At 43.1% G+C, this 27,626-nt stretch overlaps 1 protein-coding gene across 2 annotated transcripts in view, besides 2 other annotated features; it reads right to left on the bottom strand.

Annotated features, from left to right (window-relative positions):
- The window catches only part of PTGFRN (prostaglandin F2 receptor inhibitor), an 80,438-nt gene that overhangs the window by 34,004 nt on the left and 18,808 nt on the right, over positions 1-27,626 (bottom strand). The window contains exons 1-4 of one of the 2 annotated variants that reach the window (XM_017001874.2): positions 25,136-25,283; positions 14,267-14,635; positions 11,258-11,671; positions 6,778-7,158 (exon numbers count right to left, since the gene is read on the bottom strand). In XM_017001874.2, coding sequence (XP_016857363.1) covers positions 6,778-7,158; positions 11,258-11,671; positions 14,267-14,635; positions 25,136-25,202 — 1,231 coding nt within the window. In that variant the 5' untranslated portion in view covers positions 25,203-25,283. Of the gene's footprint in view, positions 1-6,777; positions 7,159-11,257; positions 11,672-14,266; positions 14,636-25,135; positions 25,284-27,626 lie in introns of those variants that run through there. The other variant, NM_020440.4, reaches the window with a different exon arrangement.
- Positions 8,917-9,117: a silencer, noted in NCBI's record as "peak385 fragment used in MPRA reporter construct". NCBI's record gives its function as "represses an SCP1 promoter by STARR-seq MPRAs in K562 erythroleukemia cells {active_cell/tissue: K562}" and the evidence as "EXISTENCE:reporter gene assay evidence [ECO:0000049][PMID:32103011]".
- Positions 17,007-17,556: an enhancer, noted in NCBI's record as "H3K4me1 hESC enhancer chr1:117481416-117481965 (GRCh37/hg19 assembly coordinates)". NCBI's record gives its function as "activates a minimal SCP1, AML or CMV promoter by ChIP-STARR-seq in naive H9 embryonic stem cells {active_cell/tissue: H9 hESC(naive)}" and the evidence as "EXISTENCE:reporter gene assay evidence [ECO:0000049][PMID:30033119]".

Raw genomic sequence — 27,626 nt, 5'->3', positions numbered from 1 at the left:
ATCTCTTCATTGACCTCAACAGTTGGTCTCTTCATTTTCTCTTAAAACTAACCTTAGGCCTCAGAAAAGGAGGCCTCAGTTTTAATGCAAAGGCAAACAAAAATAAGTGGATTCTTGGCTTGTGAACTTACGAGGGGCAGGTTCATTTGAGCTATCCACCAGCCTTGTAGCTCAACTTTAGACTTACACTCCTGGAGAAGATATGATTCCACCATGTCAGAATGGTAGGAGTAGGAGCAGGTTCTGATTTCGTTTTTGTTTTGGTGCATGGACAGAGATTGTCCTTTAACATTGTTTTACAATTTTAAAAATGGTTTGCAGAGATTGTGCCCTTCTTCAAGGCCTGTCATGCACATACCTCTTCTGTGTATCCTCTCCTACTCAACGGAGAATGCCTCCTTTGAACTCACATGTCACACTCCTATTTCGTATTCAACAAATCCCACCACCTGCCAAGCTCCCTGCTCTCTAAGGGTTTTATGTGAATCCTGCCTTGAACTTTGGTTATTCGTATGTATGTCTTATGGGCTTTCCACAGGACTCTTCCCAGGGCCAGGGACTGCCACCTTGATTCTCTGTACGTGCTGTGCATGCAGTGCCTTGTACATAAAAAATACTAACATACTGGCTGAATTGAACTAAATTTAATATTTTGCATTAAAATGCTCATTTTGGGCACAGGCATTTCACCACTGATTACTGCTACATTCTGCTTGATCTCATCAAGAAATCAGCTAAGAATGCAATGGTGGTTATGTTTAAAAACTGCTTATCATTAAAGATGCATACTAAAGTGTTTAACAGTAAAATGACATGATGTCTGGGATATACTTTATACTCTTCTAGAAGAAAAAAGTGTGTGTTTTTGTGTGTGTGTGTCTGTGTGTGTCTGGTGTCTGGAATAGGGAAGAGAGATAAAATAAGATCAGCAAAATATTGATTATTGTTGAAGTTGGTGGTTATTTCTTCAACTGTGAATATTTGTAAATTTCTATTTTTAAAAGTTAAAAACAAACAACAACACACACTGTAAGCCCTCTCACAGAATACTGAGGCCAGTCCAAGTGCAGCATCACTAACGTTCTGAGAAGCAGGGATCTGCTCCCTAATCTGGATGCCAGGAAGGTGTCTGCTCATGTCCACACCATCTCCCAAGCTATGCACAGACTCCAAAAGAGTGACCCTCCCCTAAAGAAAGGCTTTAAAAATAATGGCTCATTAGACTCCTTTGTCACAACTTTCAAAACAATAAAAAGCCTTCAGAATCACTGGCTAATTTGTAAAAACAAGTATTGTGGGCCTACTATGTGCAGGAGACTGATCTAGAGATTTTCATACAAAATACCTCCTTTTACTCTCATGACAATTTTGTAAGGAAGGTATTATTATCCCCATTTTACAATAATAATGCTAAACAACGAGCATTTATCAAGGGCTTTCCATATGCCAGGCACCACACTATATACTTTCCTTGCATTTTCAATTAATCTCCATAACAACCTTGTAAGATTGGTACTATTTTCATGTACATTTCCAAATGAAAAACAAACAAAAAGCAAAAGTTAGAGGAGCTAAGTTAGAAGACTAAGGCCTTGCAGAGTGTGTGAGAGCAGAATTATAGGACAGGCTTTGGCTCCGTGGCCTGGCTCCTACTATGATCAAATTGTGCAACCTCCTTACACACCAAGGTTATTAATCTTTCTCAAAGCCTGCTACGTCCCGGAAGACAAGAGTGATGACAACAGCTGAAGCACTAATCCTGAACTGTGTACAATAGGACCATGTTCTAATACCCCCTCTGAAACTTAGTTAACTTGGCACAGCTAATTACATGAATGGCTGCATGCACCAGTTAGAAGAAACAGAAGGAGTACTCAGCCTGTGCTGATGACAGGGTTTTATTATTTTGAATTGGGTAGGTACTTTAGAGGCAGCTGAGCATATTGACCAATCGTCAAAATGACACCACGATCACCATTTGTATAACAATTAAATATTCACCGACATTTAATGAGTGAAGGCTACAAATAAGGAGCTATTGTTGTTGGGAGGGGGTGGGAGGGGAGACTCATTACCTTACTGTGGCAGAACCATTATGAGGATGGATGGAGCACTAGCCATTTCAGAGCAATAAAAATAACATCATTTGAATGCAACATCTATGCCCTGCACCCAAAGAAATACTCATGAAGGGCCAGGCACGGTGGCTCACACCTGTAATCCCAGCACTTTGGGAGGCCGAGACGGGCGGATCACCTGAAGTCAGGAGTTTGAGACCAGCCTGGCCAACGTGGCGAAACCCTATCTCTACTAAAAATACAAAAAAAAATTAGCCGGGCATGGTGGCAGGCGCCCTGTAGTCCCAGCTACTTGGGAGGCTAGGGCAGGAGAATCGCTTGAATCTGGGAGGCGGAGGTTGCAGTGAGCCAAGACTGCACCACTGCACTCCAGCCTGGGCGACAGAGCGAGACTCCATCTCAAAAAAAAAAAAAAAAAGAAATATTCATGAAGTTTTTCTTTCTTCATCCTCATTTGCTCCTCCCAGAGAAGGAAAAGTGAATTACTAGCTTTGAGAGGGATGAAAAGGGCTGGGTGTGGTCAGCTCAACCCCTTTCTCTAGCTCCTCTTAGGAGCAGCTGCTTTTAGGACACACATGTTCCTAATTCCTCTATGCTGGGCTCCTCCATGCCCTAAGACAAACTCTTAGGTCTTAATTGGTTAAGAACTTGGTGGGGAAGACCCTCAAACACTAACAAATCATCATCGCCACCACCAAGAAAATGCAGTGAGCATTTAAGAGCCAGGCACTGTACTAAGCACTTTATATGCATTATCATATTAAACCAGGAAACCAAAACTTACTTGGAAATGTTCATCGACACACCCGAGGCAACATACCTAGAAGGAGGACTAACACATGTCTCCTGACTCCAACACTTGGCCACGTGCACTTCTGCCTTCCAGAATAATCTTGGACAGACAGCTGATATTAGTTATCCTTAAAAAACCTACAGGTCTAAATCTTATCGCCTATAAATGGCCCAGAACTCTAAAGTTTCTACCAAGTACTTAGCAGATTAACAGCTCTTTTAAATAAAATAATTACCTTCCTTGCTGGCACACTGCTGAAGAGGGGCCAGTCCTTCAGTGGGGAAGAATGCAAATCAGGTTCTTAAGACTGAACAGCAGAACTCAACTCTGCCTCCTCCAGCTCTTATATCCAAAGCCTGTGGAACCCCTTCCAATTAACGCCACAGAAGTCTGGTACTTCGGGCAGAGTTCAACCATGAACTGATTAGTATCCAACTCTTGCCAAAGGCTCATTTAAGACATCTGATAGCAGAAGGAGATGGCTTAATGTGCAGATTAACTAGCCATTCTGCTAGGTTCTCTGTTTTAGACATATACTAAATTGGATCAACACAAAGCATCATTTGTCCCCCATAGTAATTGAGCTTCTTACAGAAACCCTTCACACACTTAAGATTTATGTCCTCAGCTTTTATAGAGGGTGGATATAAGAAACATCCATTTAAACCATCATTTAGGGCCTTTTGTAAAAGAACAGTTGAAAGCCCTGTCTATTATCTTTTCCAATGCCCCAAAATGAAAAAGCACATGATAAATTCAATGCCAAGAGAAAGTTTGTCTTGCTGAAAGAGTTAATGTTTTCCTTCCTCAGAGGAGAACTGTATAATCACATCTTTTTTTTTGTCTCAACTCTTCAGAACTTCAGAGGCAAATTCAGTGCTCAAATATAATAACTAATTCATACCAACCACCTTGCAATATCTATTCTTCTTTTACCCTTTTGATCTTGATTTTATGTCTCCTGCTTTAAACTGTACCTCATTTTGCAAGCCAACTTAAATCTTTTTTTTCTTTCCCTTTAAAGTAGGACATACATTCTAAGTAAAAGAGGTTTTTTCTCAACATCTAAAACATTATCATGATCCTCTCAGTGGCTGCAAGTGCTCTGGACTTGCCAGGCCCATTCATGTCATTGCCCCGTCTTCCTGCTTAGCACAGTGGAACTCTAGAAGACCCCAATCAGCTTCAATCCCCTCACCTAGCTCAGTACACAAGCCCCAAGCAAATGAAGACAAGAACTACCCAGCTCTTAGGACTATGCTCTGGAGTTTCAGGAATGAAGCTGAGTCCCAAGGCCAAAAATATTTTCACATTGAACATTTAATGCATATAAGGTCCTTAGTCCAGTGCCTGGCACACAGTAGATGCTCAATAAATGGTAATTATTCATTTTAATCTGTCAAGTGGCAAAACTGAGTTTTGCATTTTACCTGTGTAGCAAACCAACTCTCTCGAAAACTTTTCTGTGACAACATTCCAGAGTTACATGACCTAAGACCACCTATATCAACAGAGTGCTTGTCAGGTTGTCTGTCTATCTTTTTTGGTCACTTCTCGGTTACCTTATATTGGTCCCAAGTTGTATGTGGTATGGTATCCGTACGCATATACATGCACATTACATATCTAGAGACAACCATGGAGTGTCAGGCCAGGCTCACTGGCTTCTGGACAGAGTCCAGCGGGGAAGTCTTTGAGAAGGGTCTGCTGCTATGCTCATGCCCTACCCGCTCCTGACAAGTGTCCAAGCAGCTGTAATGGTCTGAGTCATAGGCACAGGGAAGGAGGAGAAGTCTTAAGAGGAAGAAAAAAAAAAGAATGCAATTGTTTTTCATACTACTCGCTCTTTCGTTAGGTTTACTCAGGGGCAAATATCTCTGAATATCCTAGGAGTTGAACATTACTGCTTTCTTAGCAATTCTAGCTTTCCTATGCACATATTTTAACAAAATCCATGTGTGGGTACTGGTTTATTTACCCGTTCAGCTAATATTTATTGAGTGCTTATTACATGCAAAGCAGCAGGGAAGGTGCAGGTTCTGTATCTGTTAGCATCAGTCAGGAAAAGCACACTGATGACTTTCACAATGGTAGTAGCACTCCAAAGGAAAACAAATGACGGGATCCTTTGGATAGTAACTGAGCCTTTTCCACAATTTAGTCTCTTTATTTCTTTTCACTCTCTGGAGAACACAGCTACCAACAAATCCCTTCCAGTTAAAGGAGCCCATTCCTCCTAGAGCTCCGCTCCTGTTGTCTGACAGTCCCTGCATCTCCCCCCGGGTATGCCGGGATCAATGCACACGTACTTCAAAGAAGCCTCAAATTGGAGTGCAAGCAGCACTTTCAATTAAAAAAAAAAAAGTCCTCGAGTTGGGATTCAGAAGCTGAAGGGGGAGCGGGTACGGAGAGCCAGTGCTGGGATTTGACAGCACCATACAATACACTAAGGATCAGAGCTGTGAGACAAATTCAGCTCCAGAGATGAAAAATCTTCTTTTGGTGCTGACAACATCTGTTTTATTTTGAAGGTTGCTAAGGAGAGTTCTAGCTGGGCCAACATTGTTCCAGTTCAGTACTTCATAGTGACTCTCTTGCATGGGGTTCAGACGGCAGGAATAAAAAGCTTGCCAGATAAACCCCGCTTCTTTTACTTTTCAGATATCAAAGGATTACTTTGCTAACAGGGCTGATGAACACCCTGCCTCGTCTCCATCGGAATCGGATTGTCCCTTCCGCTTACTCTCATTGCTCTTCTTCTCCCTGCCCCCTCTGTCTCCACTGGCCAACTCCCCATCTTTGCCAAATAAAGGCTTACTGGGGAGGAAAAAAAAAAGGAGAGCGAATATGCCACTAACCCAAGAGAAGATTTCCATGCAGAGATAAGGAATAGATAAGTATGAGTTGGAGGTCATAGCAGAAGAATCAGACAAAGGAGGAAATGGTTTCCTGGCCTTTAAAGATCTGTTTTGCCTGCTAATAATCAGAGCAATGCCAAATGCCTTTATCAGGGCTCAGGCACTCACGGACAGTAGAGAGATCAAAACAGGGGGGAATGTGATGAAAGGCCTGTCCCATCTCTGTAATAATGGAGGTGGGGAGCGAAGCTTTCCACACCCAGCTTGACCCCATCCCTCCTTTGATTACTTGCAATTACAAGACATAACAAAAATTAGGAAAAGTTAGTGTACATTTTGCCCAGAGGGCAAACATTTAGGGAAAAAAGAGGTAGGGGAAAAGGAGCTTAGTATAAAGTAAGAGGACATGCCAAAGATCTCCACATATACGGCAGGTTGTTATAAAATGGGTGGCAAGGTGCTCAACACTTGAGAGCTACTCTGCTCCTCCACTGGGGAAATTACACCTGGGGTGAGAGCGTCCACAAAACAAGCCTATAGAAGCAGGCGGGCCCTTTAGTTGTAAGTGGTATATACAGATATATTGTGGGATTCCAGGGCGTGACGTGAAAAAAAAAATGCTTTCTAATAACTGAAGGAATTATCTTTCTGCATTGGGCTTTGGAAAAGCACCAGCTCCTGCCAGGGAGCACCTAGGAGTCTAAGAGAAACAAAGGAAGAATGGCAGTGTTCTCCCTCCAACAAAGATTCATTTCAAAGAGCCATTCAGCAGTGCCCTGACCCTGCAAATGTCGACAACAAAAGGAAACTATATACTCTCAAATGAGGGTATTGAGACAACTGAGGCCACATTATCTAAACATTTCCCTTGTCTGCCAGATTCTATTTCATCCCCAGCTTGGGATCTATCTGGGCCAAAGTATGCATGAACCAATAGAAATAATGTCGAAGTCATGCAAAGCGCAGAGCCTCCTGAGATAACTCCTTCAGATAACTCCGAGGAGGGGTTAAGCTGAAGAGGTTAAGAGTCATTCTCCAAACCACTCACCTAGCCAGGTCACACCCACACCAGCTGGGGAAGACACGGCCTCTGCCACTTTGTGCCAGCTCCTGTTGTGTCCGGGTGCCCACAGGGACACGTGGCAGTAATAGTAGCCAGAGTTTTCTTTGCTAACATCCCGAACCAGTAAATGGTAGGAGCGTGCATCCACATGACTCAAAGCAACATGAGGCGAGCTGTGCACCAGGGAATCACGGTCAAGCCGCGCCAACACGCGGGAGCCAGGTAGGGTGCTGTCAGGCATCCTGCTGAAGGACCACGTCACCTCGGGCCGGACGTCATCGGCTCGGTCTGTTGTGATGTTACAGGTCAGGTCCAGTTCCTTTCCTTCAGCCACAGACACATTCTTGGGCACAGCTGCTCGCAGAACTTGAAAATTAAAAACAAATACATCTAGGTAATCTGATTATGTTTGCCCCTTCTATTCTCCACCCTCTTTAAAGCATCTCCTTTTAAGTTCTTATTTACAGCATTAAAGTTAGAAGGCTTTGTACAGTTGTAAGTGCTTGAGAAATATTTAATGAATAAATTAACAGAACATACCACATTTCTTCTTATTTTATAAAAACAACAATAGCCGCAAACATTTACATATATCTGCTATATATGCCAGGCAGTGTTCTGAGTGCTTTACATATAATAATCCTCAAAACAACCCTAAGAGGCCTAATTTTACTGATGAGGAAATTGAAGCACAGAGAAGTTAAGTAACTTGCCCAAGGTCACACAGCTGATAGGTGGCAGAGATGGAATCCAAATCCAGGCTATCTGCCTTTAGAAACTCTGCTCTTCACTGTTATGCTATCTTTTGATAAGCAGTCTATTGAAGACTGTAAAACTAAAATTATACATTCTCCATGTGCATGATGAAACTTGGGTGATTTTACAGAAAAGGAAGACTTGCTTCTGACTGGTACATATTGTTAGCTGGGGGCTAGGCAATAAGGCAGCAGAAGTGAGGGTGAAACTGTCTAAGGGATAAAAGGGAAAAATCCTAAACAGAAGGGCCAGGAAAGTGAAACCAGACAATTTTCCTTGAGTCAAGTCTTCAAAATGTAATGTACTGAGAGTATAATTTATTTCTTAGACATTCCCACATAAAAGCCAATCATAAAACATATTCTAAAACTAAAACACGATGATTTTTGGATTATCTGCACTACTGTCCTTTCTCATTAGTGTGGATAATTAAAAGTAGACTATATTTAGATGAAGCACTGAAGTATTTGGTGTCACAGACTCAAGGCAGATCTAGTTCCAGCATTCCCCTGTCAAAGCTTTCACATGGAAACATTTTATTCTATTCAGAAGATTTTAAAAGAGCATCTGTAATCTGAGTAGAAAAACATCAACTTGTGAAATGTCCGGGAACAATTACTTAGATGACAAGTACCAAGCACTTCCCAGGGGATTCAAGCAGAGGCACAGCCCTGGCCTTCTAGCAAGTCGCTGGCATCAACGGCATGGCGCTGGCCCCAGTAAGCTCAGGGACCCAATTCAGAAAAGACCAACTCCAAAGCCCGTGCTCCTTGGCGTAAATTACTTTCATATGAATATGTCCAAAGCCTGACAATATTTCAAACAAATATTTCAAGTCAAGTTCAAGATCCAGCTAGACAGAAGACAGAAAATAAGGTGGGCACAGTATTAGAAAAGGCAATTTAAAAGTTCAATTTCTCCTTCCACCTAGTCTCCTAATTCTTTCTCTCGATCATCTCTTTAAAAGGGCCAAAAGTAGCCTGAGGGTATCATTTGTGAGGACTAAGTATGGAAACTGCTGCCCTGAGCCAGGCTCTGCAGTTTGAACCATTCTACAGTCAAAGCTTGTGGCCAGAAACCCTGGAATCCTGCTGGAGTCACCTCTGCCAGGACTTCAGCTACTGGAAGTAAAAGACGACTCAGGAGGGAGTCGGGTCAGTGACGAAGTACTTAACAAGCAGCTGTGGACTGTATGGATGGAGAAAACAGAGTCTCAGGTTCAGAAAATATTGGCAGGGATGTCTCTTCAGCTGTGTAGTTCACTTTGTAATTTTCTCTGTGCAAGTGGCTCAGTATCTTGTCACATCACTAACCAGAGGTCCCACACATTCTGGATTTGGGAGTTTACTGCTGAGAGACAGGATGGAGTAGGCTAAAGGGAAAAAAAGGACCAGTTCTAAGTATTTGTAATGAAAGAAGGGACCTCAGGCAAAGCCTGTGGTGGGGCAGGTTCTCTGTCCCTGAATATAACTAAATCCATAAATCAGACAAAGTTTGCAGCAACCAGACCACTCCCATGACAGGGAGGAGGGGCTGGGGAGGAGGCTCCCTGCCACATGGGTAGCACAGCTTCACTCTGCGCCATTTATCATAACAATGTGATAAGAATATATAAGCAGCCAGCTATGGATAGTGCAGGTGTGGACAAGAAGAGAAGGACCATCAGCCTAGTGTGACAGTTCTTAGCCTGGGATCCACAAAGAGAATTTAGAGTCTGTGAACTTGGATGGGAAAAAAACTCCATCTTTATTTTTATTAATCTGTACCTGAAATATAGCATCTCCTCCCACTGTGAAAGTAAGCAACAAACCAGTGTAGTATTACCTGTGTCTGGAACTACCCCAAATAGAAATCACATTACAGTTGCTGCAGATATCCTGAAATATCATGTATACTCATTACTATTCAGAAAGTACAGTTGTTAAGCCTGCCACTATCTTATTATCAATGCATTAATAAAGCAGCATATTACTACAAAATCAATTTGCTTTACAAGTATTTTGATAACGATTTCTATATAATTATTTTCCTTTGTCATCTTGTGTACTGTATTTTATGAATTAAAACATGTTAATTCTGAGAAAAGGTCTGTAGGTTTCAAAAGGCTGTCGAAAAGTCTCATGGCACAAAAAGATTATGAACCCTGTCTCATCTGAGAGCCAGATATTACCTGCCTAATAAGTTCAGTGTTCAAGTCTCTTAGCTAGATATTATAGGTCTCATGGTGTGTTTGAAACAAAAAATGTCTTTACAATTCAAATTCTTCCAAAAAAGCGTAAACTTTCTACACAGCTGAAACTCTTAAGAGTTGTTTGATGCAAGTTTAATATCTAGAGGTTTCTTAGGGCAGATTGCAGAGCGATCACTTCTGATCAGGAAGGTAACCTAAGTCCATCTGGAAAGCGATTTCTGCAGCCAGTGGAGCCCAGACTGACCAGTAATGAGCAGCTCCTCTCCTCAATGGCCATAGTCACTCAAGAACCTCAGACCTGCTTTTCCACCACCCACTTTTCCAAATCCAGGCTCTGTGCTGTGGTGTAAGTGCAGAGTAAAGAGCTCAGGACAATGCACCTTCAGAGACAAAATATTCCCCCTGCGTGTTGTTTCCTGCTTTCCTTCCCATCTGAGTAACAGAGCCACCACATATTCACATTCATGCTCAGGAAATGAGTGCAACAACCAAGGTCTTCCCAGTTTAAAAAACAGAAGGCAGCAGCAACAGCAGCAAAGTACTCTGAGATCTGAAGATGTCAGACTTGCAGAAAACCAAGGACATCCACTCATCCTGAGCAATGACATTGCCCTTCCTTGGTCTCTTTACACTGTCTCTGTGAAGCCTAAAGCTCCACAGGGCCTGGGAACAAGCCTCAAATACCTCTGACCCAAGGGCCCAGAACAGAGCTGAGCACACAGTAGGTCCTCCATTGATGCTGGCTGGACAATGAGTCAACAAGACCATGTTTTCCTTTTATTTTTATGTGTTTTCTAAAATGCATGTTGTATTTTCTTAATTACTTCTATAATTGCAGTAGAGGGTTTGAAAAAAAAAAAAAAAAAGCTGATTCACAGACGACAGGACAAAGGGCTTCTTGTACAGACCCCAGGACTGGATGCTCCTGTGGTCTGTATGATACAGGAAAGCAAGAAGCGGCCCTGCCCTAGAGAGCTCCTCCCCCTTCCAGGAAAAGCACATCTGAGGGGACCGAAAGGCAGGCCTAGAGGATACAAGTTAGATGAAAGGTTTTGGGATGAGCCAGGCACACACTCCAACAGCTGCAGAGAAAGGCACGTCAAAGGACTCAGGAAACATCAAACCCGATAAAGTTTAGGGGCAGGGTGTGGCACCTTCACCCCAAAGCTCCACTGAACACCAAGTCCTACCTAATCTGGCTGAGGGACCACAGCACCTCAACTCTGAGTGAAAGATCTGCCTTCGTGTTATGTGCAGGCTGTGGCTTTCCATGGACATGAATTTAGATAAAAGCAGCTGCGAAGCAAAACGACAGGCATCCTCAGCACAAAACAAATGTAACCCCGCCCACCTCCAACCTCTCAACACCCTACTCCCTTCACCCCTAAAAATAAGGCCTCACATGGGAAGCAGAAACAGTTCTTGTCAGAAGGCCATGGGGCTCCCTGGCCCGGTTCTTTGTATCACTATCATTAGTCACAAAATAACATCACCTATAACGCATCGTTTCCAGCTCACCTGATGGCTGGATCACCACGGTGGCAACTTCCACGGCCTTTTCTTGGATTTCCTGCCAGTTGCCCTGCTCGGCGATCCACTCGCTGACGATACACCTGTAGGAGCCCTGGTCGGCAGACAGAGCCCGGGACACTGAGAGGCGGTAGGCGTCGCTGCCCACGGTGTCGAGGCGCACGTCCCCACTGTGGTAGCGCTGCTCGTACCCCAGGCCCGGGTGGAACCTGCCCTCGTGGGTCAGGGCGAGGACGCTCCGCCTGGCCGGGCCGCGGTGCACCTCCCACAGCAGCGCCAGGTGCGTGTGCAGCGGCGAGGCGGAGGCGGCGGTGCAGCGCAGCTCGAAGGGCTCCCCCTCCCGCAGGCTCAGGCTCGGCGGGGGCCGCGCGCTGGGGCCCACGTGCAGGGAGTCGGCCAGCACTGCGGAGAGAGAAAGCTAGGTCAGTAGCCCGTCCACACCGACCCCAGCCGGCAAGGGCCAGCCCACCGCTGCAACCACAGACAATTTCCTCCTCCCTTTCCCATTCCAAGACCCGGATGGGCACGTTTTCCCAACTGGATTCATCTGTAATCTCAATTGACTTTCTGACTTGAAAAAGAAAAATAAAGGTACCAAAAAAACCCCATGCTAGAAGTGGGTGGTAAAAACTCCCTGTGGGAGTCGTGCCTTGGGGATGTGATGTGCTTCTGCTACCCTTAAGGCAAGTTACTTTACCCCTCTGTGCCTCAGTTTCCTAAAAGGAGGATGACAACTGGACCTTCGTCATAGAGTTGACATGAGAGTTAAGTTAAACAGGGTAAGTTCCCAGGACCGTGCCTGGCACTCAGCTGTCATGATAAATCATTGGGTATGACTGTCAAACATTTCTTTGCTTAGGACCAGGGCTAGGCTAGGGAGCCCGCAGAATCTGCAGATAAGGTGACCTTCTAGACTTAAAGTAGCAAGATCCACAGGGGAGAAAGGATGGCATGAGCTGCCTGTGGCTTGCAGCCTGGGGAATGCCCAAGAATGTCTAGGGTGAACACAGCATATCCACATGATAGGAACAGGCCCAGACACTTCTACAGAGTCTAGAAAAAGGGGACGGCGATCAAGGAAGTATGGGTGGTGTACTCAGGAAAAAAGCAGTAGATGGATACTGCTATTCTGGTAACCAGAAAGGGGGCCACTACCAAGCAGCAGGGAAAAATCTATCAGGCTTATCCATGAGCTGGCTAAGAGGACCCTCCAACACCACTATTCATCATCTGTTTTTTTTTCCCCCCAATTCCATATTCAGAAACTAATTCAGTGTCCTTGAGAAGGGGCTATTCTAGATAACATTTAAAAGCTGCTACATTTTTAGGAGGACACATCCTGAAGACCCATCTCTACTGCAAAATAAATATAATGACCTTCTAGTATATGTATCAGTCTGTGAGTCTGGCTAATATGACTCAGTTCTCAAGGCCAGCTCATCTCTCAGAGCACAGATGAATAGTTTCAAGAGCCATGAAGCTGAAGGCCGGGCAGATCCTGGACCACACATGGCAACCATCAGAGGCTCCACCTGGGCAGCAGTCAGTCTCTCTCATGGTCATCCATTGCTTTCCTCACCCAAGAAAGGCCTCCTCTTGTGTCTCCTGCCTTCCAAAGACAGCAGAAGAGGCTGAAAGATACTGGAGGAAGTGGGGTGCGGGTGGGGGAATTCTCCCCTTACTCTCCCTCCCACTCAAGAGGAGACTCCAAGGGGATACAAGGGGGCATCTGGCTTAATGAAAAAGTGGCATGTGGCAATATTTAGCTCCAATACAAGAGTGTCTTTTTCTAAATAACATGTTCTGAATTTTCTATAGGAATAAAGAGGTAGATGGGGTGTTTCATTACCTCCTTAATGGACAGTTTTATCCCCTGATGAGTCTAGTGAGGGAACAGTCTCTGAGCTATGGCAGGGTTCTACAAGTCATGAGGGAATGAATGCCTCAATCAACCCTCGCTTTTTATATCATCATGTGCATTTTCTACTTTCTGATAATTACATACATTCTGACCCAGACATAAATCCTTTTGGGAACAAGGCAGGGTACAAATAAATGCATAATTAAGTAACAATAACAACAATTATAATGTTTCTATTTTCTTAGCCCCAAATTAAAATGGTTTGTTCTTGCTCGTTTACTAATTAGCTGTGTGATTTTAGGAAAGTAATTAACCTATGCTCTTCCATTTCCTCATGTATAAATTAGGGAAATATTCTGCCCTATTTTGATTGGGTTCAGAGAATTGAATGTGTGAGTAAATCTAAAAGGACTTGGAAAATGAAACAAACAAACAAAACCCCCAAAACAAATCCCAAAACATTCCAGGTACATAAGGTGTAATATTTGCAAAGCTAGGTCAATAAGCTAGCAGAGACCACATTACATATAACACATAAAACATCTGGTACAAACAAGTACTTAAATCATGAAAGCCACAGAGAAAGACATGAACTTTGAAGTGCCTGTGATTCCCATAAACCTGAGCATCATTAACATGACCATCCCCTTCCTGTCACTAACCACTGAATGCTTACATGGCACTGCTCTAAGGCTTTACACCTGGTAACTCAGCTGTCCTCACAACCTTTAAGGTTACAGAGGAGGAAGCTGAGGCATGTAACATGCCCACAGCCATGCAGCTGACAAGTAGTAGAGCCAGCAACTGGACCAAACAATCACAGGCAACCTGGCTCCAGAGCCAGCTCTCCACCACCGCATCATGCTGCCTCCACCTCACTGGGCATAGGGTGGCTCAGAACCATACCGGAGTGAAGAGAAAGGGCCCTCTGAGGTCATCTGGCCCATCCCCTGCCTTTAATCAGATAACAATGATTTTTAAATTTTAAGACATGATTATTTAAGACATGATTATTCCCCTGGACAGAGGAGGGAGCAGAGCCTCAGAGAAATTAAGTCTCTTGACAAAGTCCACCACAGCCCAGGGGCAGAGAAAGGTCTGGCCCCTGGCATAACAAGCCCATGTGAGGACTGTACCTTTAACCTGCACTGTGTCCTCATAGTTTCCCTGGACAGTGGCATCTGTGCTGGGGGTTGAACATTTGTAGTGGCCTTGGTCTGAAGGCTGGACGTTCTTTATGTGGAGCTCCACGGCGTCGTTGGCAGTCCGCCTTAACAGGATCTCGCCCCTCTGCAGCCGCTCCTGGTACAGCTGGGCTGGGAACCCCACCTCCCAGGTGCTTGCAAGCTCCACAAAGCTGCTCCCCAAAGATGAGAAGCTCCAGTCAAAGTTTTGCTCGCTGGGGCCATCATAGTCACTGACGTTGCAGGGGATGACCAGCTCAGTGCCCACCACTCGAACCAGGGTCGCTGTGGGGACTCTCACCACACGCCCTCGGCAAAGAGCTGCAATGATAAAAGATGAAAGGCAGGTCTTTAATCACAGAAAGTCTTCCCAGGACAAATGTGGCAAACCTGTGGATGCTCCTGCTCACAGGCATGGCAGAAACGTGACAGCCAAACTACTAGGGAAAATGTATCTATGCAGAAGGTTAAGCCTAACCCTTAAATAATGAGCCAGGAATGCAACCTCAAAATGAGCATCTCTCACACAACCAGTTTCCCAGGACCAACAGGGAGGAAGATAAGCATTAAAAGCAGGCTAACTGTAAACCTCAATAGCTTCTTCCCTCCAGTTACTATTTAACACACCCTAACCACTCCATGTGATGTAAAAATATTTTAGGTTTTGTGTGAAATAAAAGGGCACAGCCAGTCAAGTGTTTACATTTCTGCCCAGCCATCAGCCCTCATCCCTAGAGACCATTCCCTGGGGCTCCTGAGACCTGATTTACAATGACGGATGCCAATTTTTAAATCCTAGAGCAGCCTGCTGATAAAATGATTTAACTCCTGTTATCTGACATTGCCTATAAATTAATTTTAAAATATGATGATTTTACCAAGTATTAATTTTCTATTTTCTGGCTCATTTCCTTCTCTACTCTTTGTTCTGATCTAAATTCAGAATGAGGATGTGGAAGCACAAAGGGAGAGAGGCAGGTTGGTTGCTGGGTGTTCTTAGGAATGCAGCAGCTGGTTGCCGGGTATAAGCCCAGTGGACACAGGCAAGACTTCACTGGTTTTCCCTTCCCTAAGAGTGTGCAATTCCCAGCCCTCTCTGGTAGGGACCCTACAACTGGCACCTGTGAGTCCTTTAAGATGTCTTCATTGCAATGAACTTCAGCATGATTTTGCAGTGTATTTACTACCTGTTTAGCATTTCAATTGCACCAAATAAACACATATAGCTCCTTTGTGATGTTCTTGCAATAACATATAAAAGAGAAAGCATGTCTGAAATCAAGGAGACCTAAGTTGCAATCTGAGAGACCTCTCTTACCTTTGACTTCTGCCACTATGAATTGGGACAAGGCAGCTTCACTGAGTTAATGAAATAAAATGTCTAGGTGAGAGTCTACCATGTAATAAGGGCTCCAGGAAATGGGAACCTTTTATTAATTTTGTATTTTTATCATTTGTTATAGGTTGAATTATGTCCCCATCCAAAATTCCTTGTGGAAGTTCTAGCCCCCAGTACCCCAGAATGTGACCATATTTGGCAACAGGGTTGTCACAGATATAATTAGTTGTGATGAGGTCATACTGGAATAGGGTGAGCCCCTAATCCAATACGACTGTATCCTTAAAAAGTGGGTAATTTGGACACACACATGCCCACAGGGAGAAAGCCACATGAAGATAAGGCAGAGATTAAGTGGATATGTCTACAAGCCAAGGACCTCCACAAATTGCCAGCAAGCCACCAGAAGCTAAGGGAGAAGCACGGAACAGATTCTCCCTCTCAGCCCTCTGCAGGAACCACTCCCCGACACCTTGATCTTAGACTTCTGGCCTCTGGCATTGTGAGGCAATAAATGTCTGTTTAAGCAACCTGGTTCATGCTACTTTGTTGCGGCAGCTCTAGCAAACTAATATACTACTGCCACTCTTTTTTCACTGGTTTAATTCATGTTTTGAAATTCTGGGTTCCCAGGAAAACGTGGGAAAGTTTGGAACTTCCTAGAGACTTGTTGAATGGCTTTGACCAAAAGCCTGATAACGACAAGGTCCCAGCTGAGGTGGTTGCAGATGGAGATGAGGAACTTGTTGGGAACTGGAGCAAAGGTGACTCTTGTTATGTTTTAGCAAAGAGAATGGCAGCATTTTGCCCCTGCCCTAGAGACCTGTGGAACTTTGAACTTGAGAGAGATGATTTAGGGTATCTGGTGGAAGAAATTTCTAAGCAGCAAAACATTCAAGAGGTGACTTGGGTGCTTTTAAAGGTATTCAGTTTTATAAGGGAAGCAGAGCATAAAAGTTTGGAAAATTTGCCTGACAATGTAATAGAAAAGAAAAACCCATTTTCTGAGAAGAAATTCAAGCCGGCTGCAGAAATCTGCAATAAGTAATGAGGAGCCTAATGTTAATCCCCAAGACAATGGGGAAAATGTCTCCAGGGCATGTCAGAGGTTTTCATGGCAGCCCTTCCCATTACAAGCCCAGGAGTGGAAAAAGTGGTTTCATGGGCCAGGTCCAGGGTCCCTGTGCTGTGTGCAGCCTAGGGACTTGGTGCTGCTCCAGCCATAGCTGAAAGGAGCCAATGCAGAGCTGGCCATAGCTTCAGAGGGTGCAAGCCCCAAGCCTTGGCAGCTGCCACGTGGTGTCAAGCCTGTGAGTGCACAGAAGTCAAGAATTAGGGTTTGGGAACCTCCTCCTCTATTTCAGATGTATGGAAACACCTGGATGAAAGGCAGAAGTTTGTTGCAGGGGTGGGGCTCTCATGGAGAACCGCTGCTAGGGCAGTGAGGAAAAGGAAATGTGGGGTCAGGGCCCCCACAAACAGCCCCTACTGGGGCATGGCCTAGTGGAGCTGTGAGAAGAAGGCCACCATCCTCCAGACCCCAGAACGGTAGATCCACCAACAGCTTGCACCGTTCACCTGGAAAAGCCACTGACACTCAATGCCAGCCTGTGAAAGCAGCCGGGAGGGAGGCAGTACCCTGCAAAGCCTCAGGGGCGGAGCCTGCCCAAGACCATGGGAACCCACCTCTTGCATTAGCGTGACCTGGATGTGAGACGTGGAGTCAACGGAGATCATTCTGGAGCTTTAAGATTTGACTGCCCTGCTGGATTTTAGAGTTGCATGGGGCCTGTAGCCCCTTTGTTTTGGCCAAATTCTCCCATTTGGAATAGCTGTATTCACCAAATGCCTGTACCCACATTGTATCTAGGAAGTAACTAACCTACTTTTTATTTTACAGGCCCATAGGCAGAAGGAACTTGCCTTGTCTCAAATGAGACTTTGAACTGTGGACTTGTAAGTTAATGCTGAAATGAGTTAAGACTTTGGGGGACTGTTGGGAAGGCATGATTGGTTTTGAAATGTGAGGACATGAGATTTGGGAGGAGCCAGGGGCAGAATTATATGGTTTGGCTCTGTCCCCACCGAAATCTCATCTTTAATTCCCACATGTTGTGGGAGCGACCTGGTGGGAGGTAATGGAATTATGGGGGCAGGTCTTTCCCGTGCTGTTCTCATGATAATGAGTAAGTCTCGTGAGATCTGATGGTTATAAAAAGGGGAGGTTCCCTGCACAAGCGCTCTTCTCTTTGCCTGCCGCCATCCACATAAGATGTCACTTGCCCCTCCTTGCCTTCCGCCACGATTGTGAGGCTTCCTCAGCCATGGGGAACAGTAAGTCCAATTAAACCTCTTTCTTTTGTAAATTGCCCAGTCTCGGGTATGTCTTTATCAGCAGCGTGAAAACGGACTAATATTCCTTGGCCTCTCAGAGTGCTGGGATTATAGCATTATAGCCACCATGCCCAGCCTACTTATGTTTCTTAAGGTAAAGGTAATTTCTGTCACTGGCAACTCAAAGAACGTTGAAATAATATATCACTACCCAGCAGTGACTAATTCTCTGAAGCCATCATTACCACAGTTCACAAAGAAATGAGGTGATCACTTTTTTACATTTAATTTTTGAGACAACCAGACAATTCTGAATCTCCCAATGAGATCTTCTAGAAGAAAGCATCATGGTGGAGACTCTTTAGAGGCAAAACAGCCTTGTGCTTAACCCTCTTGTGCCTCAGTTTCCTCACGTGTGAAATGGAGACCGTGGTCACCACCCTCCCTGAGGGCTGTGGTAAGGATTAAATGAGGAAATGTACTTACAGCACTCATGATCCCTGGCCTATGGCAAGGGGCTGCGGTTATGTGCTGAGCAGGCCACCTCTAGGATAAACCTGATCATAGTCATTCACCTTGCTTCCTTGGCTAGGTTTACAGAGGAATTTCCTAATGTGTTAATCTTTTCCATTCCTATCCCTTGTCAAGAAGCTGGCCAGGGTGGACAACCTACCCACAAGCATGAGACTGCATCCTTGTAAGGTCTCTATCTTTATCCTTAGTGATCAGAGCTTTAGAAACTGATTCATCTCCTTGTCTGAACTCTCCAATCCTTCCACAGGGCTGCCAAAATCATATTTTCCACATACAAATCCGATGTCCCTTCACTGATCAAGTCTTTAATGGCTCCTTATCACCTATAGGACAAAATCAACCCATCAGCCACCCCCAGTGCTGTCACCCTGGCCCCGGCCAGCACCCGTCTCATCTGCATTACTGCAGTGTCCCTTACTGTTCTCCTGGCTTCCATTCTTGTTCTCTAGTCTCAATACAGCAAAGTGATCTTTGAAAAATTTAAGTTGGGTTATATCTTACTCTGTTCAAAGGTCTCCAATCACTTCCCATCTCATTCAGATGAAAGCTGAAATCCTTATAGAGGCAATCCTTACAGGACCTGGCCGTTTTTGTTTCTTGGACTTCCTGTCTGTTCCTCTTCCTCCACTATACTCCAGCCATGCTCTGCTCCCAAGGTTTCACCTACTGCAACCTCAGGGCCCTTGCACATTTCCTCAACCCAGGACACTCTCAGACATTCATCCCACTAGCTCCTTCACCAGCTTCAGATCCATATTCTAATGTCACCTTCTCAATGAGGCCTTTCCTGAGCACCCTAAAGTGGCACATCCCCATTCTTGCTCCTGCCAAATTTTCTCCTTATCAATTATTACTAAAATACTTTATGAACATTTATGTTTTCACTATTATTTGTTTTCTTTTTCTTTTTTCCCCAGTAGAATGTAAGTTCCATATGAGTAGTGATTTTTGTTTTGTCCATTGCTGAATGACAGTGCCTAGAACAGGACCTGGTAAAATAGTAGTTGTTCAATAAATATTTGTTAAATGAATGAATGAATGAATAAAAGACATACAAGACCACTCATGATCTGGCTCATGGATACCACTTTAGCTTCATCTCCAACTGTTCTCCCACTCTCTGATGCTTCTATCCCACAAAACAAACATCTCTTCACTTTCTGGAAATGCCATACTCTCTGGTGCTTCATGGCCTCTGCTTTCATGCCTCCATCACCTGGAATACCCTCTCATCCATCTCTTCACCCTCTTGTAAGAAGCAGCTGCAGCACCACCTCCTCTGTGAAGCCTTCCCCAACTCCCCTAGGATCACTTAGGTACTCCTTCCTTCATGTTCCAACTCAACCTGCAAAAGTACCTTCAACATTGGCTATATGATAGCTCCACTGGGAAAAGTAAAGCAGATATGAACAGATGCTTGAAAGATCAAATTCTAATCCGAAAAGATATAAACCTGAGCACTGTCTTGCATGCAGAACTAGGATGTCCCCTCATCCATGCAAATCAAGATCTTAAATTTTGGTAACAGAATTTCAAATTGCCACCAAGCAATCTGGTATTTAGCACAGATTTCTTGTAATATTGTTAAATAACAGCTAATGATATTTAAAAATAAATATAACTTGGAAAAAATAGAGCATATGGCTCTTTTCAAATCAAAAAGAATATCTACATAGCCACATGTTGCCAATTTTTGTCAAAACCTTTTGTAACAGTTGATAACTGAGGGAAAAAGAGGAAAAGAAAGTTTTCCTCTATTTTTCCAAGTTCTACCAGTGTTTCAAACTGAAGGTCCCAAACACTTCTTTACCTGAACTGTATTAGTTTAGTTCCCCATAAAAATGCCGCTACTAAGTAACAATCTTGAATTATGGCTTCATTTGTTTTCAGGAGTCAATATAAGAAACCTTCATACGAAAAACATTTATCAGCCTTAAAAGTCCTATTGAGGACACTACTGGGTTGTTCAATGACACAAAAATTCACATAATAAAATTCCATTAAAATTTAATACCAGAAAAAAAAATACCTGTTGATGGACCATTGTACATTCTTTCAAAAAAACAGGAACTACACAGGTTTCTCTTACCTCTCGGGGCAGTTACCACAGCCTCAGAGTACCTTTGATACCCAAGACAAAATAAGGGCACTTTAACTATCACCTTCATGCAGTGTTTACGTATATGTATGTGTATTTCATTGGAAGTTGACTCAAATATTTGGGGGTGGTAAGCAGAGTTTAAATTTCAAAAGACCAATAATTGAGATTTCTACTTTTAGATTTTTGCTTTTTGCTATCATAGAGTAGCTAATATCAGATCACTCCCCACCCCCTGCCCCCACCCTCACTCCCACTACAGAAACCATAAAAGATAGATAAAAGCTAACTGAATGCAGTGGTGAGCAATCAAGGCAGCCAGGCTCAAGGGTCCAAGATCACAGAAAGATACTGAAGTGGACTCAACAATACCCACTGCCTTTTCTCTTCAGATATTTGCTATTTTTAAGTGGTGCAGGCTAGAAAGCAAGTAGAAGTAAGTAACTCAGAGCTTCCAGCACCTTGTGGGGCCAAGAAGACAACTGAAGTTCAAGGATACTAAGAAGGTCAGAGTTTGAGGAGCAAGATCCTACGAAAAAAAGGCAACAGCAGAGAAGTGAGCTTGACATACTACATTGTTTTCCCCTCAAGGTAACTGACATGAAAGATACATTGAAGGGTATGGGGAGGTGGTAAGTGGCTGAGAAGCTAAGCAGAAAATAAACACTAGGGGGCTAAAGGTTAAGTAAAATTTTTGACCATTTCACAATACGGGGAAACAAAAACTAGAATTCTGAGTCCACAAAGGAAGGTGGTAAACACTCAGATTCTCAGTTACAATCCTGGAAGGGCTATGCTCTTGGAATAAGAGCAAAGCGGAAAAAGCAACTAGCTCTCATCAAGACTAAAAGACAGTCTCAAAGCATCTCAATTCCTCATTGGATAAAGATGAGCTTCTCTTACTCTACTGGCCTGTTAGGAAAAAAGTAAATCTTCTCAGATAGAAGATGACATCATACAAAGCCACTACAATTTTTCAGTGTTCAATTAAAACTTACCAGGTATTCCAGATGACAGAACCAAATAAACAAAAACAAAAGAGAAAAAATAAGACAATAGAAACAGACCTCCAGGGATCCAGATATTGGTTTTATCAGACACAGATTGTAAACTAACTATAATTAATTTACTAAAGAAATAGAAAACAGGATTTCACCCAAACTGAAATATATTGAAACAATCAAATTGAAATTTTAGAACTAAAAAAAAAAATACAATATCCGAAATTAAGAGGTCAATAAATAGGTTTGGCAGCAGATTAGATGCAGCACAGAAGAAGTCAGCAGCCAGGCACAGTGGTTCTCGCCTATAATCCCAGCACACTGGGAGGCTGAGACAGGAGGACTGCTTGAGCCCAGGGGTTCAAGATCAGCCTGGGCAACATAGTGAGACCCTGTCTCTAACAACAACAGAAAAAATTAGCCAGGCATGGTGGCACACATCTGTAGTTCCAGCTACTCAGGAGGCTGAGGTGGAAGGACTGCTTGAGCCCAGGAGATGGAGGCTGCAGTGAGCCATGACTGTGCCACTGTACTCCTGCCTGGGCAACACAGTAAGACCCTGTCTCAAAAAAAAACAAAACAATCACAAAAACAAAACAAAATAAAACAAAAGTCAGTAAAAGTTATCCAAACTGAAGCCCAGGGTATAAAAAAGAACTAAAAAAGCCAGACAAGAATCTATGAGACACAGTAAAAAGGCCAAACATATGTGTCACAGAGGCCCAGAAGGACAGGGAGAGACTGTAGTAGAATTAGGCATAATTTTTGAAGAGATAATGGCTAAGATTTTTCTTAAACCAACAAAAGACATCATGCCACAGATGCAAGATAAGATATGTATCATAAACAGAATAAATACAAATAAAACCACACCTAGGTAAATCATAGCAAAACTACTGAAAGGCAGAGAAAGGAACAGGAATACAACTGATGGCTAACTTTCAACGGAAATGATGCTCATGAGAAGACCACAGAATGACATCTTTAAAGTGATGAAAGGAAGTAACCACCAACCTAGGATTCTATACAGAGAAAAAAAATCCTCAAATAGGAAGGCAACATAAACATGCTTTCAACCAATTCTCAACAAGGGAAAAAGAATTAATTGCACCAAAAATAAGTACTAAAGGGGGTTCTTCAAATAGAGGGAACATAATCCCAGTTGAAATCATGGAAATGTGAGAAGGCAAAGTGAGCAACAGAAAGAATAACTATGTGGGTAAACCTACTGAATATTGACTATAAATACAATATTAGTAATGTCTTCTGGAATTCAAAATATATACATAATTAAAACATATGACATCAATAGCAGAAAAAGTGAGGGGAGGGGTGGAATACATTGGAGCTTAAATGTTGTAAGGTCTTTCATTATCCTGGAAGTGGTAAAAGGATCACTAGTAAACACTAACAGATCACTGATACGTGTTCTAATCTCTAGAGTAACCACAAAAATGAAAGACTGAATAACAAGCTAATTGGTGGGGGAGGGGGAGGGTAGAATAAAAAATACTTGATTAATCAAAGACCCCATAATTTCAGCTAAAATCATATAAGCATTTCTCATAGTATTTATTTCATGATGTATTCAGTTTGATTTACTATCAAGTCTCCCAGTCTCTCTCCACAACAATATTAGAATCGAGTAAGAGGAAGAATAATAATGTACAGTGTTTCTTACATGGCATGCACTGACTGACTGAGCCAGGCACTATCCACAAATTGTCTTAATCCACAGAAGACAACCATAAGGTAGCTATTACCACCCCTATCACAGATATGAGGAAATTGAGAATCAAAGAAGTTGAATAACCTCCTGAAGGTCATAACAGCTATAACGTGAGGGACTCAAACCCAAACTTGATAGTGCAGCATAAGCCAAAGATAGGTCGGATTTCGTTTGCCTTCAATTGCATTATATATTATCATCCTCTGTTGATTTTTTGTCTTTAATCTGAGTAGGAAAAAGAAACAGCTTAAAATTCCCTATATTTCATATTCTCCATGGGCAATGGAACCAAGATAGGCAGCAAAGTAACACAGAAATGAGTCACTGAAAGAAGAAATATTATATATTTTCAATGTGAAGTAGACAGATGAGAGAATAGAAGAAACTGGATTGTTAAAAATTTCTTCAAAAATTTTTCTGATGTACTACCTTTGTTATTTTAAGTGATACCAACTTTAACACCACGCATATTTATACTCAAAAATGGTGCAGAGAACTTTATTCCAAAATCATACAGGAGGGACTTTTAGAAGTCCTCTGCTCTGACTTCTCAGCAGTAGAAAATTAACAACCAAGAGTTAATTGTTTCCCGATTACCATTTCCCTACCTCTGGAATACTCAAGAAAGTAATTAAATGCCTTCGACTTTCTTCTATCAGGTGGAATCGATGGGGACAGGTAGAAAAAGGCAAGTTCTTCAAAGTAAACAACTACTCCTGCAATGTTTATTTAAATAAGTGCTATTGCCAACCATGAGGAATCATTAAGAAAGACAAGGCAATGAAGACTACACTTCATTTATCTATGCTTTTCCACCTCCTTCTGATATCCATGGGAAATGGATTTTATTTCTCAGGTTATCATCAACATTATTCTAAATCAAGACCTGCAGAGTATAGCATATTTGCTAAAAATTCTTGCAATTGTTTCTATTTCTGCTCAAATTTTATTATTTCACTGAGCTGCCTAGAAGCAAACAATCTGACTTTCCAATCTGAACCATTTGTAAGATAAGTATCAGCAGTTATTGAATCCAGTGGTACAGGTGAGTTGAAATGCTGAAACTAAAGAGGTTATGGTTTTCAGCATGCCTTGTAAATGGGTGCCTAATTCCCACTTCCCGAGTCCTTACAAGGCTTTTAGGAGAGACTCGGGGCCTATGGATTGCCACATGGAGTTCCCAGTCCACATATGAGCTAGAAATGAATGCACAGAAAGTCAAACTTATAAAACCTTATAGTGCCTTTATTGGAGTACCTGACTCAACAAATGAAAAACCTTTGTCTCCTCAAGTCTGCCACTGAGAGGTCTGACAGGAAAGGATCATGCCAACTTTCATCTAGACAGTCCCTAAGTCATGAAAATGCAGCAAGGCACATTAAACAAGCTATAGACAGCAGAGAATGTGTAATGAAGTCACATATGGCAGAACTTCAAAACCCCATCCAGAAGCAAATAAGGTTCTACTAGAACAGTGCTTATAATCATTAAAAAAAAAAAAAAAGAAAAAGTTCAGCTAAGACCTCACTGAGATACACTAGACAAATGTAAGATAAGATAACTCATTCAACACACAGCTACTGAGCAAAAAGTCCCTGTGCTAGGTGATAAGTGAGAGTGAAAGGTTAGTCAGCTTGTGGATCTTCTTTTAAGGCACGTATGGTATGCTAAGAGTCAGGAGGTGTGGAACAGTGCAAACTGTCATACAGGCTGTATATCCTTTATTCAAAACGTTTGGGACCAGAAGTGTTTGGGATTTCAGATTTTCAAATATTTGCATTCCTACCAGTTAAGGATTCCCAATCTGAAAATCCAAAATCCAAAGTGCTCCAACGAGCATTTCCTCCGAGCATGACCTCTGAGCAACGTATCAGTGCTCAAAAAGTTTCAGATTCTGGAGCATTTCCAATTTTGGATTTTTGAATTAAGGATGCTCAACCTGTATAAGGAAGGATATAAATAATCAAAGAGATGCACTAACAGGTGCCTCAGGGGTCAAAAGAGAATGAGGACATTTCCATCCAAAGGGATTCATAAAAAGCTTCATGCAGTGTCAATATTCGAATTTGGCCTTTGAAAAATGGTTGGATGAGGGGGAGGTTTAACAGAAGACATGAAGGAGGAAAGTGACCAGAGATAAGGGGTGTAGCATAAGCAAAGACCTAAAGGGGCCACGGGGGACACAGGCAGGTAGTGGTGAAGACAGGGTGACTAAAACAGTGTATCAAGAGCAGACTGGAGAGGAGACATGGAGGCCCAGAGATCATTCAGGGACCCTCTATCAATGGTGGGGAGAGGTAATAATAATGAAAACAAGGGCAATGACAGGAATCAAAAGGCAGCAGCTCTGAGAGCCACAACAGAGGAAGGGTCAACTGGTAGACCTGTGAGGGGAGACAGAAGCCAAAGGGAAGCTAATCACTGGTGAAATCTATTTTCTTATAGTAAGATTTTGACCAGTAGAAATGTCCACCGGACAGTTGGAATGGAAACCCCTAGAAGATATTTGAGCCTAACATCAATGTGGAGTCACATGCACGGAGGGAGTGGGGGGTAAAAAGGAAATCTGCCCAGCAGTGAAGACGTGGGAGTCGATGACACCATCGGGAGACAGATTACTGTATAGAAAAGAGGGAATGGGACAAAACCACAGCAAAGTCCTATGTTTAAGGCATGAGCAGAAGAAAAAGAGTCAGCACAGAAAAAAGAAATAGTAACCAGTTAGGAAGAAAACCAGGAAAGGCTTATGCCCTAGCAGCCAAGGGATGCAAGAATTTCAAGAAAGGGTTTGAAGTAACACTTACTGTTTCTTTATGAACATTACTCATCTACTTGCTCCTGGCAGACTGCAAGCTCCTTTAAAGCAGGAGCTGTTTCCTACCCATATCTGCATCCTGCACAATATCTAAAGCAGACTCCTACTATATGCCTTTGTTTGAAAAAAATGAACAACAATGTCAAACATGCAGAAAAGTCAAGGAAGGTGGGTGCTGAGAAAAGAGAAATGAACTGATGGCTAAGTAATCACTGGCAACCTCCAGGAAAGCGCATTTTCAATGACGGGTATGGGATCTGGAAAGTAAGAGCCAGGAGAGAAGGAACAAAGATGTAGGGAAGAGAAGGCACAACCATGAAAAAGGCACTGAAGCAGCAAGCAGGGGGTTCATCCTGCAAAGTCAGCCAGTCAGTCCCCCAAAGCACCTTCTAGGCACTGGGGACACATGGCCACCAGTCCCTGCCTGCAAGAAAACTGTGTTCTAGGAAAGAGACAGTGATGAAGTAGACCCACTGACAAATGCTATTCAGTTAAAATATGACAATATGAAGTGTGGTCAGGAAAGGCCTCTCTGAGAGGGTCATGTCTGAGTTTAGACCAGAATGACGAAGAGACAGTGATTGAAGCTCTGGGGCAAAACTGCTCCAGACACAGAACAGCAAATATAAAAGCACTGTGATGGAGCAAGCTTGGGTGTTTAAAGTACAGAAAAAAAAGATCACTGTGACTGATCACAATGAATGAGGGGGCAGGGGCCCTGGATTCTGGTTGAAATGGGAAGCACATCAACGAGAAAACGATAGAGCCTACTTTCTTTGTAGAAATTTCAGTCTGACTGCTGTGGGAAAGACAGATTATATGGGGCCAATTTGGAAGCAAGGACACCAGCATGGGGGAAGTTTCTGTAGACCAAGCAAAAGCTGATGAACACCGGCCTTGGTTGACAGTGGTGGTGACTCTCAGGAGTAGTCAGATTCAGGACTTAACTTGTGTATGAATGAAAAGACAAACTGACTTTTTGAATGTGGGGAATGAAGAAGAGAGCAATCAAGAATGATCTAGGCTTCTGGCTTGAGCATCTGGCATACAGGGTGATGCCACTTACTGAGACAGCAAAGTAATTAGAGGGAAGCAAATCTGTACCAAGGAAAGCAAGAGTTGTCTTCTGGTCATTTTAAATGTGAGGTCCCTATCAGACACCAAGTGGAAGTGCAGTGGAGTAGGCAGCTGGATGTTTAAGTCTGGAGCTCAGTGGGGAGGTCCAAGCTGGAGATACTCACTAGAGAGTCATCAGCACACACAGAGTATTTAAAGCCACAGGTTGCCTGGGGTCACTTGGGGAAAGAATACACATAGAGAGGAAAAAGAGCCAAAGATAGAGCCCTTACTTTTTTTCAGGTTAGACAGAGAAAAGGAGTAAAAATATTAAAAAGTTTTGAGGCAAAAGCTTGAGGTTTCTTTGGTCTCTATTGTCTCAGTAAAATAGTAGAAAGGAGTTCAG

The sequence above is a fragment of the Homo sapiens genome, chromosome 1, assembly GCF_000001405.40.
Source record: "Homo sapiens chromosome 1, GRCh38.p14 Primary Assembly".
Taxonomy (NCBI): Eukaryota; Metazoa; Chordata; class Mammalia; order Primates; family Hominidae; genus Homo; species Homo sapiens.
Note: the sequence above shows the minus strand (reverse complement) of the source record. Positions and strands in the feature narration are given on the sequence as shown.